This window comes from Homo sapiens, chromosome 3 (genome assembly GCF_000001405.40).
Source record: "Homo sapiens chromosome 3, GRCh38.p14 Primary Assembly".
Classification (NCBI taxonomy): domain Eukaryota; kingdom Metazoa; phylum Chordata; class Mammalia; order Primates; family Hominidae; genus Homo; species Homo sapiens.
In genome coordinates this window covers 137,697,378-137,714,432 of record NC_000003.12, presented here as the reverse complement: position 1 = coordinate 137,714,432, position 17,055 = coordinate 137,697,378, and the positions used below count along the sequence as shown (strand labels likewise).

Genomic DNA, 17,055 nt, shown 5'->3' with positions numbered 1-17,055 from the left:
GGAGATCCACCAGGTGAAGCCAGCTGGGCTCCTAAGTCTACTGGGAATTGGGGAATCTTTATGTCTAGCTAAGGGTTTGTAAATGCACCAATCGGCACTCTGTGTCTAGCTAAGGGTTTGTGAATGCACCAATCAGCACTCTGTATCTAGCTAATCTAGTGGGGAGGTGGAGAACTTTTGTGTCTAGCTCAGGGATTGGAAATGCACCAATCAGCACCCTGTCAAAGTGGGCCAATCAGCTCTCTGTAAAACAGACCAATCGGCTCTCTGTAAAATGGACCAATCAGCAGGATGTGGGTGGGGCCAGCTAAGAACAAAATCGGGCTGCCTGAGCTAGCAGTAGCAACCGGTTGGGGTGCCCTTCTGCATTGTGAAGGCTTTGTTCTTTGGCTCTTTGCGATAAATCTTGCTGCTGCTCACTTTTTGGGTCCACGCTGCCTTTATGAGCTGTAACACTCTCTGTGAAGGTCTGTAGCTTCACTCCTGAAGCCAGAGAGACCACGGGAAGGAACGAACAACTCCAGACGCCCCGCCTTAAAAGCTGTAACACTCACCGCGAAGGTCTGCAGCTTCACTCCTGAGCCAGTGAGACCACGAACCTACCAGAAGGAAGAAACTCCAAACACATCTGAACATCAGAAGGAACAAACTCCGGACACGCCGCCTTTAAGAACTCTAACACTCACCGCTAGGATCCGCGGCTTCATTCTTGAAGTCAGGTGAGACCAAGAACCCACGAATTCCAGACACTATCAAAAGGTAGATATGGAGGAGTCTCTAGCATTTTCCTTGATCTTGGTGACTCCAGGGATAGAGCTCTGTGCCCTTTTGTTTGTAAACTCTTTTGTTCTGCTTGATGGATTTTTTTTTTAAGGTCAACTTTATGGTTGCTATTTTCAAATCTTCCTCATAAAAATTCTTCTAGTCTGGGATACTTGGCTTCCAATCTAGAAGGGCTGTGGATTTTCATTCATTGTTGTGTCCTCTGTGCGTAGTAACTGGTAGAAGCTTCCTGATACCTATGTGAAGTTACACAAACATGTCTGGATTTATACAACACCAAGACTGCAATTGTAGAACAAAAGAGATGCACTGAAATGTACACTTTACAGGGCTAGTGTCACTTCCCTAGACTCCATCTGTATATCATGACAAGTTTATTGGTCTGTAGATACTTAAATGTGCCTTTTTAAAAAAAATGTTACTTTAAGTTCTGAGAAAAGTGTGCAGAATGTGCAGGTTTGTTACATAGGTATACATGTGCCATGGTGGTTTTCTGTACCTATCAACCCGTCATCTAGGTTTTAAGCACTGCATGCATTAGGTATTTGTCCTAATGCTCTCCCTCCCCTTGCCCCCACCACCCAACAGTCCCCGGTGTGTGATGTTTCCCTCCTTGTGTCCATGTGTTCTCATTGCTCAGCTCCCACTTATGAGTGAGAACATGCGGTGTTTGGTTTTCTGTTCATGTGTTTGCTGAGAATGATGGCTTCCAGCTTCATCCATGTCCCTGTGAATATGCCTTTCTACTTTTCAAAAAATTGGCATAGTATTTGTTTGTCTTCATTCTTCTGGCCCCCATTTTCAATATTGAAAATGGTCCTGAGATGCAGCCTGCCTGTCTGTAATGCAGGATTTGGAGACCTGAATTCAAGTATACTACATGATTCAGGGCTTCGTTATTTCATAACTCAATGCTAGGGACAATTACATTGTGATGTTTCTTTTTGTCCACTTGCCATTTGAAGAGCATTCTACATTCTAATTACTTGGATATAAAATAGACAATGTGATAAAATAAAATAGTCCACTGTCTAAATAAAATTGACTAGTGTGGAAAGAGTTAGGAATGGAGACTGAAAAAAGTCATGTTTCCAGCTGTCTTTGGCCATGAAAATTTCTCAGTAGGATCCATAGTAATCACATCATGGAGAATGGGTTATCCATCCCTTCAGGCATTTATCCTTTGTGTTACAAACAATCCAATTACATTCTTTGAGTTATTTAAAAATGTACAATTTAGTTATTATTGACTATAGTTACCCTGTTGTGCTATCAAAGAGTAGGTCTTATTCTTTCTGTTGTTTGTACCCATTAACCGTCCCCACTCCCTACCTCCCAAACTCCCAGCTACCCCTCCCAGCCTCTGGTAATCATCCTTCTAATCTCTATGTCCACGAATTCAATTGTTTTGATTTTTAGATCCCACAAATAAGTGAGAACATGTGATGTTTGAATTTCTGTGCCCGGCTTATTTCACTTAACATCAATGATCTCCAGTTCCATCCATTTCATTGCAAATGACAGGATCTCATTCTTTTTTTATGGCTGAATAGTACTCCATTGTGTATATTTACAACACTTTTTTTTTATCCATTCATCTGTTGATATGGTTTGGCTGTGTTCCCATCCAAATCTCATCTTGAATTGTAACTCCGACAATTCCCGCGTGTCATGGGAGGAACCCTGTGGGAGGTAATTGAATCATGGGGGTTGGTCTTTCTTGTGCTCACACTAGTGAATAAGTCTCATAAAATCTGATGGTTTTAAAAAGGGGGAGTTCCCCTGCATAAGCTCTCCGTCTTTGCCTGCCGCCATTCACGTAAGACGTGGTCCTCTTACTTGCCTTCTGCCATGATTTTGAGGCCTCCCCAGTCATGTGGAACTGTAACTCCATTAAACTTCTTTCTTTTGTGAATTGCCAGTCTAGGGTATGTCTCCATCATTGATGTGAAAACGGGTTAATACATCTGTTGATGGACACTTAGGTTTCCTCCAAATCTTAACTATTGTGAACAGTGCTGTAACAAACATAGGAGGGAGTGCAGATATCTCTTCAATATATTGATTTCCTTTTTTGGGGGCATATACCCAACAGTGAGATAGCTGGATTGTATGGTAGTTCTATTTTTAGTTTCTTGAGGAACTCCAGACTGTTCTCCATAGTAGTTGTACTAATTTACATTCCTGTGAACAGTACATGAGGGCTTTCTTTTCTCCATATCCTTGCAAGCATTTGTTATTGCCTATCTTTTGGATAAAAGCTATTTTAACTGGGTGAGATGATAGCTCAATGCAGTTTTGATTTCCATTTCTCTGATGATCAGTGATGTTGAGCACCTTTTCGTATGCCTATTTGCCATTTTATTTTGTTCTCTTTAAAAAGACTCCCCAATATGGTGTAAGCTCCTGGTCTCTAAGATCTACCTGGCTAGTTTTTCTTTTTTCCTACCATGTCATATTCTGCTACTTCTCTATTCTTTAGTCATTTTTGTCTTTATATCTCCTTTGAATTATGTTATCTCTGGCTTCCATTCTAGTTATTACTATAATTATTATTGTTTTCAAACTTGTAGTGGTGTGGCTGATAGAGCAAAATGTTACCTTTTTTTTTTTTTTTTCCAAGGAAGAGAAAACGCCATTTAAAAGACACCCATATCCACTGCTTCTTTGACTAGGGAACATCATCACCTTTTCTTTAAACATTTGCTCAGAATGACTTGGGTGGCCTTTCTAACTTGTCCATTTATTCAACAACTATTCACAGAGTTCTTCCGTATGCCAAGCCCTCTGTCACCTGGGGTGACAGAGTGAATGAAGTGAAGCTAATCTTTATGAGCAGAGGTGGAAACTAAGCAAGGTAAATAAATAAATAATGATTTTTAAAAAAAGAACACAGAGATGTGATAGGTGGGTAGGGTGGGGCCACTTTACATGGTAGGATGTGTGTAGCCTGATGAAGGGGGAGGTGAGATTTAAGATGAGAAAGAGTCAGCCATGTGAAAAGCATCCCAGGTAAAAGGAATTTATTATGATAGCCTGGGAGCAAAAAGAGGTGGATATTCTAGGAACTGGCCCAAGACTGATGAGGCTAGAATCCAACAAGGGGCGTCACAATGATGTAAAATGTGACAGAAATATGGGGCCAGTTAAATCAGAATGAGACCATATTTGTAGCCCCAAGGTGTCACATGGGTTATACCTGTTACATAATTAGTATCTCACACAAGAATAGCTAACATTTAATAATGACTAGCGGCAAATGAGCACCTCATGACGTGTCAAGGGCTGTCTTAAAAGTGTTAAATTTTTTGAATCATGTATCTTCACAGCATCCCTATGAGGCAGGTAAAGTCATCATCCCCATTTTGCAGATGACAAGACCAAGGCACATAGAGATTGAATAACTTGCCCAAGATCCTAACCAGTGAGATTCAGACCTTTTCAGTCTAGCTCCAGTGCCTGCCCTCTCAATGACTATGTTTTATGCTACGATTTCTGAAGGGCAGGTCAAGCTAGCTGCAGGCAGGCAGCTTGGGACACAGAGGGCTTCTTGCAGGGGGAGGTACTGACAAGCTGCTGGCAGGAGACAGCCTCACTGCTCATCAGTCTGGGGAAAAGGGCAGATTGTTACAGCCAAGCCACAGAAATCCGGGAATGGTGGCTAAGGGGCACAGTGGGTCAGAACCAAGAGAGTAAGTAAGCTGGATCAAACTGAGGATCCAGAAACATTCAGCTGTGAATGCTCATCTTTGTAAACCAGAAGACTATATCAGCCACAGCATGGAGAAAAAAAAAAAATAGAGCCTGTGAGTGAGCACAGAGCCGGGAAAGGAGGCTGGGTGTTCTGGGCATAGCAGGTGGACATTGACTCACTTTCATTATTTCATTAGTTTCATTAGAACAAAATTAAAGTTCTAATGAATGCATTATGCATTAAAGTTTTTTTACTACATAGCCAAAATAACACTATTTTATTTAACAAGTAAATAATACTTCTAAATAACATACATATTCACATTTCCCTAATTATCCCCCCTCCCCCAAATTAAAGTAGCTTTGTCCAACCCAGGACATAACCCAGGACCATACATTATATCTGGATGTTATATTCCTCAAGTGTCTTAATCTCTAGACCAGTTCCCTTCCCCATGATATTATTATTTTGAAGAGACCCAGATCAGTGTCCTGCAAATTGTCCTATTTAGATTCATCTGGATATTTCTTCCTGGAAATCATTAGCTTGTTCCCATATCTTTTGTATATTCTATATAGTTACATTTAAAAACTTGATTCAAATTAAACGTTTCTGACCAGAATATATCATAGATGAGCTTTGTTTTTTCTTTTCCTTTTTCTTTTTCTTAAGGATTACATGTGGACATGCATGCTGTTTATTCTTTGGCATTGCCCCGCTGGAGATCAAGGCACTAATTGCCATCTAGTGGCAGCATACCCCAAATGCAGCTTCAGATCTTTGGAGGGGTAAAGATACTTCTGAGATATTGAACCTGTAGATTAAATCATAGTGTAATTATGGCAAGTGATAGGCATATATTAAGCTCTGTCATCAAATCTTGCTTCAAAATCTTTTCTGGCCTTAGGCACCCTGAGTCTTCATGAGAACGACAAGTTCCATTAAAATTCCATCTGGCTTCTGCTTCCTTCCTCTGCACCACCATCTCCAGTCTCTCCTTCTCCATCCTCTTTCCAACACCCCTGTTCTTACTTCCAAATTTATTCTCCTGCTTCCAATTCAGGATTATTCAAATATTAACCTAAACCTTTCTCTTTGGTTGTAAATTATGGATATGTCTTCTGAAATTTAAGAAAGATAACATGCATCAGCACTTAACCTTTGATTGCTGTTAGTAATTAATTTTTCCCTTGGAGTACATATCTTTTTTTTCAGTTCGGAAATTCATGCAAGTTGGAATTACTGAGATAAAGGAATTCTGGATCCATAGGGAACATTTGTCCAAATCCACACCCAGTCTTTTCCCTGTTTAAATGTACTTCTCATGCTGTTTTGCATGTGTACATATATGTGTTTGTTAGAGCAGAAAAATCCCTCCACTTTTGGATTCCTGAGAAGTGCAGGAATTTCCAATTGATTAATCTTTGTCAGGACATACTATTTCCCTTACCTGGGCCCAGGACCTAGGGACCCTGTGGAGAAGGCTATTATGGGAAGTTCATAGAGAATTAGACTGAAGGATGCTCTGGCTAATGAGCCTGACCCTGGGACTCTGTGGGCCTCCATCACCGGTACCTCATAATGACATTTGATGGATGGAGTGAAGTTGCCAGGGGACTGTTTTGCTATGCTTCAATAAGTACAATCAATTTACAACTGGACCAAAGTTGCTAGTAATACAATAACACCTCTGGGAATAATGTATCTATTAGGAATTTTCTAATTAATTCATAAGGGGAGGGGTCTGACATACAGTCTAGATTAGGGGCAATAGTTAGAGGGACCAATGAGAAGTACGGAAAAAGATGTAGCTGAGGCCAGCCCTTCTCAAGATTGAAGCCAGATAAGGTATCTGTAGTAAGAGATGCTACTATCTTTAGTCCTATGACTACCTCTACCATATACACTATCATCAACTCCTCTTTCTTATCTTTTCAGTTGCCTTTTTAGCCCATTCCTTAAGTATCAGGGTCCCCCAGGTGTTGTTCTCACACCATCTCTTTTCTCAATCTGGACACTCTCTCCAGAGTCTCTTGCTCATACACTGCATTGCCTGAGCATTCTGGTGACTATATTTTCAACTGCCTGCCAGAATTTTCTGATTTGCCCCAGTGCCTTGGCCTCAGCACATCAAAAGCTAAACACATTATTTGTTCTTCCCCAACCTCAATGCTCTGTTTCTTTTGCACTTTCTACCTTGGATAAATGGCTGTATCCTCTACCTGGCTGCCTAAGTGGAGGTCTCTATTGTCATCCTTGCTGCCTCCCACTCCTGCATCCCAAGCTCTATTTTGCTGCTTGTTTTACCCATCGTGGCTGCTCATTTATTTCCACTCTTCTCCTACCGTCCTAGACCATGCTATAACTGTCTCCTATCTGGATTACCCTAATACACCATTAACATAGCCTACAGCCTTTCAGTGGCTCATCATCTTCTCCAGGATTAAGCATTTACCCCTTAACTTGGTATACAGGTTGTTTATGATGTACATTCTGTTTTAATCTCCAGCTTTGCCCCCCCACCCACAAGTCCTTATGCTCTAGCTACATCAAATAATCTGTTGTTAGGATGTCATGATTTGTCATACTCATCTGCTCTTGGATATCCATTTATATAAAATGTCCTTTTTCTCCATTCACCTCTGAATTACTACTTACTTTTCAAAATCCAGCCTCGGTGTCAGCTTCTCTATAAAGTTTTCCTGGATCACTTGTTTCTTTTAGAGTTAAGTGCTTTCTACTCTGAACTACTTGTATGCCCTTTGCATATTTTTATTAAATAATTAGTCGGATGATATTGATACTGCCTACTTATTTTTTTTTGTTTTCTCAGTAAATGTTGAGCTTGAGGGGAGGAACCTTGCTTAATTTTCTCTCTGATACTTCAAATTACGTGGGTTCACTGGAGTTCCTAAGGGGGCCAGGCTAAAAAAGCATCAGAAAAACAAAAAGCATTGGAAGAAGCCATAAAAACTGAACAGAGACAAGATAAGCAATGTATGACTATATAACTATATATATGTATATAACTATAGCACACAGTGGAGGATTCAAGCTTTGCAGTTTTAGTCCAGGCATGTTAACTGACTAATATAAAGAAATCCAACAATTTTTTTTTTTTTTTTGAGACGGAGTCTCGCTCTGTCATCCAGCCTGGAGTGCAGTGGTGCAATCTCGGCTCACTGCAAGCTCCACCTCCCGGGTTCATGCCATTCTCCTGTCTCAGCCTCCCAAGTAGCTGGGACTACAGGTACCCACCACCACCCCTGGCTAATTTCTTTTTTTGTATTTTTAGTAGAGACAGGGTTTCACCATGTTAGCCAGGATGGTCTCGATCTCCTGACTCTCTGATCCGCCCACCTTGGCCTCCCAAAGTGCTGGGATTACAGGCTTGAGCCACCGTGTCCGGCCAAAATCCAACAATTTTCAGATGCAGCCAAATCCAGAATTGCCACAATGTGTTATTTACAATGTTCAGTTTTCAGTCAAATTATGGAAATGCAAAGAAAAAGGAAAGTGTGATCTGTACTCATTAAGAAACTAAGTAAATAGAAACTGTCTTTAAGAGGGACCAAATGTGGGATTTAGCAGACAGACATCAAAATAGCTATCAAAAATATGTTCATAGACTCAAAGAAAAATACATTTAAAAAATTAAAGGAAAATAATTTTAATAAGTGAAATATAAAAATATTATCAGTGAAATGGAATCTATTATGTATCTATCTATGAGCTGAAAGTACAACCACTGAAATGAAAAGTATACCTGATGAGCTCAACAGAAAACTGAGGATGGCAAAAAAAGAATCGGTGAACTTGAAGATAAATAAATGGAAATTATCCACTTCAAAGATGAGAGAAAAAAGATTGAAGAAAAGTGAACAGAACGTCACAGACCTGTGGGATAATATGAAATGATCTAATACATGTCATTGCAGTCCCGGAAAGCAAGGTGAAAAAGGAACAAAATATTTTTAAAATAATAGATGAAAACTTTCCAAACTTTATGACAAATAGTAATTTACAGATACAAGAAGCTTAACAAATCACAGACAGAATAAATACAAGAACATACTCTTAGTAAACTACCTAGAAAACTACAACTAGGCACATTATAGTTAAACTACAATGATAAAAGTGAAAATTTTTTATGATAGCTAAAGAAAATGACACATTACCTAATGGTAACAATGATACAAGAAAGGGCTGATTAAAAATACAAAAATTAGCCAGACATGGTGGCGTGTACCTGTAGTCCCAGCTACTCGGGAGGCTGAGGCAGGAGAATTGCTTGAACCCAGGAGGTGGAGGTTACAGTGAGCCGAGATCTTGCCACTGCACTCCAGCCTGGGCAACAGAGAGAGACCCCATCTCAATAAATAAATAAATAAATAAACAAACAGTGGTAGTCAGAAGAGATTGGAATGACATATTCAAAATACTGAAAGAAAAAACTGTCAACCCAGCATTTTCTATTCAATGAAACTCTCCTCTAAAAATAAACCTAAAAGAAGGACATTTTTGTATAGAAAAAAATGAGAGAATTTATTGCCAGCAGATTTGTTCTATAAGAAATGCTAAAGGGAGTTCTTCAGCCTAGAGAGAAATTAACACTAAATCTATAGGAAGTAACAAAAAAATGAATAATGTGTATGTATATATCTATATATTTATATCTGCGTATATATGTACAGTCATGGGTTGCATAAGGATATTTAAGTCAACCACAAACTACATATGTGACAGTATTGTAAAATTATAATGGAGCTGAAAAGTTTCTGTCACCTAGTGATGTCATAGCCATCATAACATCATAACACGATTCATTACTCATGTGTTTGTGGTGATGCTGGTATAAACAAGTCCACTGTGCTGCCAGTTGTATAAAAGTATAGCACATAAAATTATGCACAGTACATAATGCTTGATAAAAATAATAAATGATTATGTTACTGGCTTATGTATTTACTAGACTATTTTTACATTGTTATTTTAGAGTGTACTCCTCCTACTTATTAAAAAAAGGTAACTGTAAAACAGCCTCAGGCAGGTCCTTTAGGACATATTTCAGAAGAAGGCAATGTTATCATAGGAGATGACAGCTCCATGAATGCTATTGTTTCTAACAACCTTCCAGTGGGACAAGATATGGAGGTGGAAGACAGTGATATTGATGATCCTGACACTGTGTAGGCCTAGGCTAATATGTGTGTGTTGTGTCTTAGTTTTTAACAAAAAAGTTTAAAAAGTAAAAGCCAAAAAAGTTTAAAATAGGAAAAGCTTATAGAATAAGGATATAAAGAAAGACATTTTTTGTACAGCTGCGGAGTGTATTTGTGTTTCAAGCTAAGTATTATTACAAAAGAGTAAAAAATTTTACTTTTTACTTTTTAAAAGTAAACTTTAAAAATTTTATAAAGTAAAAATGTTACAATAAGCTAAAGCAATTTATTATTGAAGAAATACAAATATTTTATACAAATTTAGTGTAGTCTAAGTGTACAGTGTTTATAAAGTCTACGATAGTGTATAATAATGTCCTAGGCCTTCACATTCACTCACCACTCATTCACTGACTCACCCAGAGCAACTTTCCAGTCCTGCAAGCTCCATTCATGGTAAGTGACAGAAAATATACAATGTACCACTTTAAAAAATACTTTGTACTGTATTTTTACTGTAGTTTTTCTATGCTTAGATATGTTGAGATACACAAGAATTTACCATTGTGTTACAGTTGCCTACAGTATTCAGTACAGTAACATGCTGTACAGGTTTGTAGCCTGTAACAGCAATAGCCATACCACATTGTGTATGTGTAGGCCATACTATCTAGGTTTGTGTGAGTACACTCTATGATATTAACACTACATTGAAATTACCTAATGATGCATTTTTTGGAATGTATCACTGTTGTTAAGCAATGTATGACTATATAACTATATGTGTTATATATTTACATATATATTAAAAGACATCTAACCATTTAATGCAAATTATACTGTATTATTGTGTTTGTAGTATATAAAATTATATATTAAAACAATAGTACTAAGGATGGGGAAAATGAATTGAAAAATACTGTTGCAAAATTTCTACATTACAGGAAGTAATTCAATATTAGTTCTAAATATATTGAGATAAGTTATAGATGCAACCTCTAAAAAATGATGTAAATTAGTATAGCTAGAAACCCATGAAAATAAATAAAACTAACAAATGTTTGGTTAACACAAAAAGAAGGAAATACAGAAAAAGAGAAATAGAGAAACAACAAATAAATAAGACAAATACAAAATAGCAAAATGGCAGACCTAAATATATCCATATCAATAATTATATTAAATGTAAATGGACTAAATAGTCAAAACAAAAAGCAGATATTTTATTAAAATGAGTAAAATGAGTGATATTAAAATGATATTAAAATGAGTAAAAACCAAGTATACACTGCCTACAAATGACACATTTTAAATACAAAGACACAAATAAATTAAAAGAAAAAAATTTGAAGAAGATATACCATGTAAACAATAAACATCAGAAAGCTGGAGTATCAGGCAAAATAGACCTCAAGACAAGGAGTATTACTAGAGACAAGAGAGTCACTTCAAAATGACAACAGGGTTAATGCTTCAAGAATATTTAACAACTACAATTGTATATGTGCATAACAAAAAACAGCAATAAGTAATAATAATTATTAAGAACTTAACCATTTTCAAAATTAAGGTATTTTTTCAAATGTGATTCCAGAATCAGTCAAAAGTATAGCTAGCTAACAAATACTGTGGTGCCAAAAAAGACCTATGTTATCTGGGCACCAACTCACTTGGCCATTTCAACACAAGGAAATCTCAAATCACCTTTCTAATGATTTGCAGTTAAGAAAAGGGTCTTTCTTATGTATAAATCCATCACATTTAACATAACTTTTTCAATGTTTCACACATTCCTTAAAGCTCATTATTTATGGATTTTTTTAACCCAGGCAAATAAAGTTTATTTTTTTCATCTTTATTATCTTCTTTCATGCCCTGGTACAATCAACCAGTTATTATTTAAGACAAAATTACTCTCTCTTTTTTCCTGATAAACAAAAATATATTCTTCATTATTATTTTTATTTGTACAAATGTATGGAGTGCATAACTTTTATTACATGTATATAATGCATAGTGATCAAGTCAGGGTGTTTAGGGTACCCGTCACCTGAGTACAATATATTTTGTTAAGTATAGTCACCCTTATCTGCTATCAAACATTTATTCCTTCTGTCTTACTATGTGTCTGGACCCTTTAAGCCACTTCTCTTTATCCTCCCCCATTCCTCCTACTCACCCTTCCCAGTCTCTGTTATCTATCTTCCATTCTCAACATCCATCATTTTGCATATACATCTCTTTAACAGCACACTATTCTTTTATATTACTTCAAAAATGAACATAGATATTAATAAAATGTAAAGATATTTGTGCATTCTTTTTTGACACATTAACTAATGTCTACTTTAAAATGTAGAAAAAAGAGTGTAGGTAAATGAAAATTATGCTGTCTAGATATTCAAATGTTATTTATAAATTAACAAAAATTAATATCAATTCAAGATCTTAAAGTTAACCAAGGTTATTAAAATTATAGGATCAAGTTGACACATCAAGTTCTTATAATTTGTAACATTAGGAAAATTTCACTAGCATAACACTTTTAAAATACATCTGTTATTACATAATTTAATTAAACATACTTTTGAAATCAATTTGTGAAGCCAATAACTTTTTAAAATACATCTGTTATTACATAATTTAATTAAACATACTTTTGAAATCTTAAACAATTCGTGAAAATAACTTTTTGACTTATAAAATATATGAAATTTAGAAAATTTTAGTCATGAGAAAATAAACTCTACCCTTGTATGAAGTAGAATATTGTATTTACATTATTTTTACAAGGTGGTAAAAACATGGAGAAGATATAGAGTTGCTTTTAAATTAAAATTGTGAGTCTAATTTGACCAAAGCCTGTTGATAGGAGTATTACATTAATTTCAATTTGAACACATTTGAATTTATAAACAAACTTTCAAGATTATTTAAATCATGTTTAAAAGCTTCCAATATCTCACTTTCTTTCTTACCTTGTAACCAAGTAACTAAAGCCATTAACTCAATTCACAGGTAAAGCTTTACTTCTTTTTCAGAGGTGTAGTTATAATGGGCATTTTTCCCTTGGAAGAGCCAAAATAAACAAAAATTAGGAGTTAATTTTTTTCCCTTGAAAAACTCTTGCATTTTTTTTCAAATTTACGTGAGTATTTAGTATATCATTTTTTTCCCCTGAAGCCAGTAGGACCTGAACTTAACCCATTAAATTTTCAGAGATTTTGCAGTGTGATTCATTCCCATTTCATATTAGATGCATTTATCTGAATTGATGTTCTTAGAATTGAACATAAGAATACAATTTTTCAAAGAGTATTTGATCTTCAAAGCTTCTAGAGAGAGGGAGAAAGAGAGGAAAAGGGGTATAACAAGAAGAGGAAGTGAGAGGAGCTGGCTACAAACAAATATGGAAGTCATTACAGACCACCAAAGGAGCTTTGGACGCAGGAAGATATATTTTTACACACACACACACACACACACACACACACACACACACGTGCCCCCCCTGCCCAACACACCAGAGAGAGAGGGAGAGAAAGACAGAGACAGAGACAGTTGCTACAGTTGGTTTAAACAACTTAGGACATTAATAATTTTATGAGGACTACATGAATAAAAGCCCCAAAGAACGGTGATCTTTCGTATTAAAATAATATATGTTTTAATCAGACGAAGCAGATAATTTTCTCATAAAGGGTTCTTCCCTTTTTGTTCTGGGGCACCCATTTCATTTCTGGTCTTCTGAGAAGCTGATGGCAAAATCAAATTACATGTGAAAAATATTTGTGAAGCGGGGAGCTTCTTAAAGGGTAAAAGGAGAGCAAAAATAGAATAAACAGGGAGAATCTTCGGACTGCAATGGAGGCATGATACATGTGAAAGGAGACAGAGTGAGGAAGATTGGGTATAAAGAGCCTCTGAGAAAGCGTCAATCAGGCCAATGGGAGTTCAGAGCAAAGGTTTCCTGTTAGAGGGGTCTTATATTGAACAGGAATTTCCCAGATCTCATATGCCTACAGTGCTAAGTTACTGGAAATGAACTACCTGGAGAAGATATGGCCTTGGCATAAATGTGGTGGATCTTTAAAGCGGGGCAGGTCAGTTGACTACATTCCTTGCAGCCTTTCTCTCTTAAAGGAAGATATGAATAGGTCACTCTCATGGATGCCACAGAACCTCTCCAGTGGTTTTGGTAGCTAGCGCAATTCTAAATTGTCCTGGATGAAACCATTACATTTAGAGAGATATATGCAAGAATGAGAATACATAAACCAGAGTTATTCCAGGAGGTAGCACAATTTACTAACAAACATGTCTGACAGTTGGTTTGGCCCTAAGATCAAGCTGATCCTGACTTCAGACTCAAGAAATCATCAATCCTTTGCAGACTGAATGCCTGGAGAGAGGAGTGCTTTGAAAGCCCAATTCTCATACACAGACCAGAAAGAGAAATGTTCTTACTAGGTTCTTATTGTGACCCAAGGCAAATTTTGTCTTAGAATTCCAGTCTATAAAGACCTTTTACTCAATGGTCCTTAAGGCTTGATTGAACAATAGAATTATAGAACCTATGTACATCTTCTTCTCTTTGTACTTCTTATAGACCTGCAATAGTACAGATAATAGCCAGATAGATCAGGTGATTGGTGGTAAAGGCAAACCTTCACCAACAAAAGGAAGATCAAACCTTTCCCCTATGTCTTTCTAAAAGCTTTGAGGTTTTCATTCTCATCTTTAATTCACTTGGAAATTTGTGTGTGTGTGTGTGTGTGTGTGTGTGTGTGTGTGTGTGTAGATAGGGATTGAATTTACCAAATAGTTCTACTTTCTCTAGTCATTGTCATGTCCATCTTAAGTTATATACCAAGTTTCTAATTATGCATTGGTTTGTTTTTGAGTGCTCTTTTTTTATGCCATTTGCATATTTGTCTGCATCTGCACAAATGCCATATTCAATAATTCTAGTTTTAGAATTTTGAAATCTGATAGAGCAAGTCATCCTACCTTGTTTTTTTAAGAAATGTCTCGACCATTTGTCAGAGCCATTTGCTCTTCCATATACATTTTAGAATGAGACTGTCAGGTTTCAAAAAGAACTTTCTTGGGATTTGGTTTGGAATTCAATTGAATTTATAGAATAATTTGGGGAGAGCTGGCATCTTTACAATATTTAGCCTTTCTATCTATGAACAAAGTAGAACTCTCCATTTATTTTATTCTCCTGTAATGTCTTTCAATATCATTTTATAGTTAGCTATAGAAAATTTTTTCACATCTTTTATAGGCCTTATCCCTAGTTTCTCTCACTCTCTTTTCCTTTCTTGTATTTTCTTGCTTGATCTTAATATCAAGATTATAATAATCTCATAAAATGAGGTCGGAGGCATTTCATTTTTTTTCTAGTCTCTGGAAGAATTCATATAATTGATCTATTCCTTGGGAAGTTGGCAGGAGTGAACTATAAAATCATCGGGTCTGGTGTTTTATTTGTGGGAAGGTTTAAAACTACTGATTCAACTTCTTTAATAGATAATTATAAAATCTAGTTAGGCTTTCTGGTTCTCCTGGAAACTGTTTTTAAAAGTTATAGTTTTTAAAAGTATGTACATTCCATCTCAGCTTACAAATGTGTTGGCATAAAAGTCTCAGTTGTATGTTTTGATTGTTTTTTTTTTAAATCTCTTTTGATTCTGTCTTCTTTTTTTATTCCTAACATTGAATATTTGTGTTTTCTTTCTTTTTCCCCGCTAGATTTATCTTACCATAAGTTTGTTTTATATTAATCTTTTCAAAAAAACAAACTTCTTTATTCATTCTATTTTTGTTTTCTATTTCATTGTTTCTGCCCTTTGTCATATCATTCCTCTTTGTATTTATCTGGATGCTATTTTTCAAACCTTTTAAGTAGGATGCATATCTCATTCTAGTATCAGCATTTCAGGATACAAAATTTCCTTTCATTAGTGCTTCAGCTTCATCCCACGAGTTTTTTTTTAATTAAACTTTTTATAATATTTTGAGATAATTGTAGATTCACAAGCAGTTGTCAGAAATAATACAGAGAGCTCCAGGTGCCCTTTACTTAGTTTCCCTCAATGGTAACATCTTCCAGATAATAGTACAATGTCAAAATGAGAACAGTGGAGTTAATACAGAACATTTTCCTCACTGCAAGGACCTCTCCTGTTGTCCTTTTATAGCCACACGCCTGCCCAATCTGCTCTGTTCCCATGTCAGCCACCAATTTGTTCTCCATTTCTATGATTTTGTCTTTTTAAGAATGTCCTATAGAACAAATCATACAGTATTGTAATCCATTGCAATTTGCTTCTTTCACTTTGCATAGTTCACTGGAGATTCATCCAGGTTGTTGTGTGTATCAATAATTCATTCTTTTTCATGGTTGAGTAGTATTCCAAGATATGGGTGTACCATGGTTTAACTTTTTAACGATTGAAGGATATTTGGGTTGTGTGAACATAAGTCTTAATTTCTCTGGAATAAATGCCCAAGACTGCAATTACTGGGTCATAGGGTAGATGCATTTTTAGATTTTTGAGAACTTCCAAACAAAGTTTTTGGAGTGGCTGTGCCATTTTATGTCACCAGCAATGTATACGTGATCCAGTTTCTCTGCATAATCAGGAATTGTTATTATCACTATATAGTGTTTATTTAAGCCATTCTGATAGGTGTGGAGTGGTATCTCATCATGGTTTAAATTTGCATTTCCGGGCCAGGCGCCAGTGACTGAGGCCTGTAATCCCAGCACTTTGGGAGGCCGAGGCGGGCGGATCACGAGGTCAGGAGATCTAGACCATCCTGGTTAACGCGGTGAAACCGTGTCTCTACTAAAAATACAAAAAAAATTAGCCGGGCGTGGTGGCAGGCGCCTTTAGTCCCAGCTACTTGGGAGGCTGAGGTAGGAGAATGGCGTGAACCCGGGAGGCGGAGCTTGCAGTGAGCCAAGATCGTGCCACTGCACTCCAGCCTGGGCGACAGAGCAAGACTCCATCTCAAAAAAAAAAAAAAAATTAGATTATGTGTCTTTTTGTTGATGAGTTGTATATATTGTGGATACCAAACCTTTATCAAGTATATAACTTCAGCTATTTTTGCCCACTCTCTAGGTTGGTTGTCTTTTTAACTTTCTTAATGATGTTTTTTGGTGCACAATAGGTTTACATTTTATTAAGTCTGATTTCTCTTTCTTCCTTTCTTTCCTTTCCTTCCTTTTCTTTTCCTTTCTTTTCTGTTGCCACTTTTAAGAACTTCTATCTCCGGAGTTTAGTAATTTAACTATAACGTGTCTACACACGAACTTCATACGGCTTGGTATATGTCAGGCTTCCTATAGCTGTAGATTCACATTCTACAACAGATCTGGAAAATTCATATCTTTGATTTTTG

The 17,055-nt window shown here is 36.6% G+C and overlaps 1 long non-coding RNA gene across 2 annotated transcripts in view; it reads left to right on the top strand.

Annotated features, from left to right (window-relative positions):
• Positions 1–305: 305 nt before the first annotated feature.
• Positions 306–17,055, top strand: part of LOC105374126 (uncharacterized) — an 87,216-nt gene continuing 70,466 nt past the window's right edge. Inside the window, exons 1-2 of one of the 2 annotated variants that reach the window (XR_924532.1) lie at positions 599–719; positions 3,548–3,640. This is a non-coding gene — a long non-coding RNA (uncharacterized LOC105374126). Of the gene's footprint in view, positions 720–3,547; positions 3,641–17,055 lie in introns of both variants that reach the window. The other variant, XR_924533.2, reaches the window with a different exon arrangement.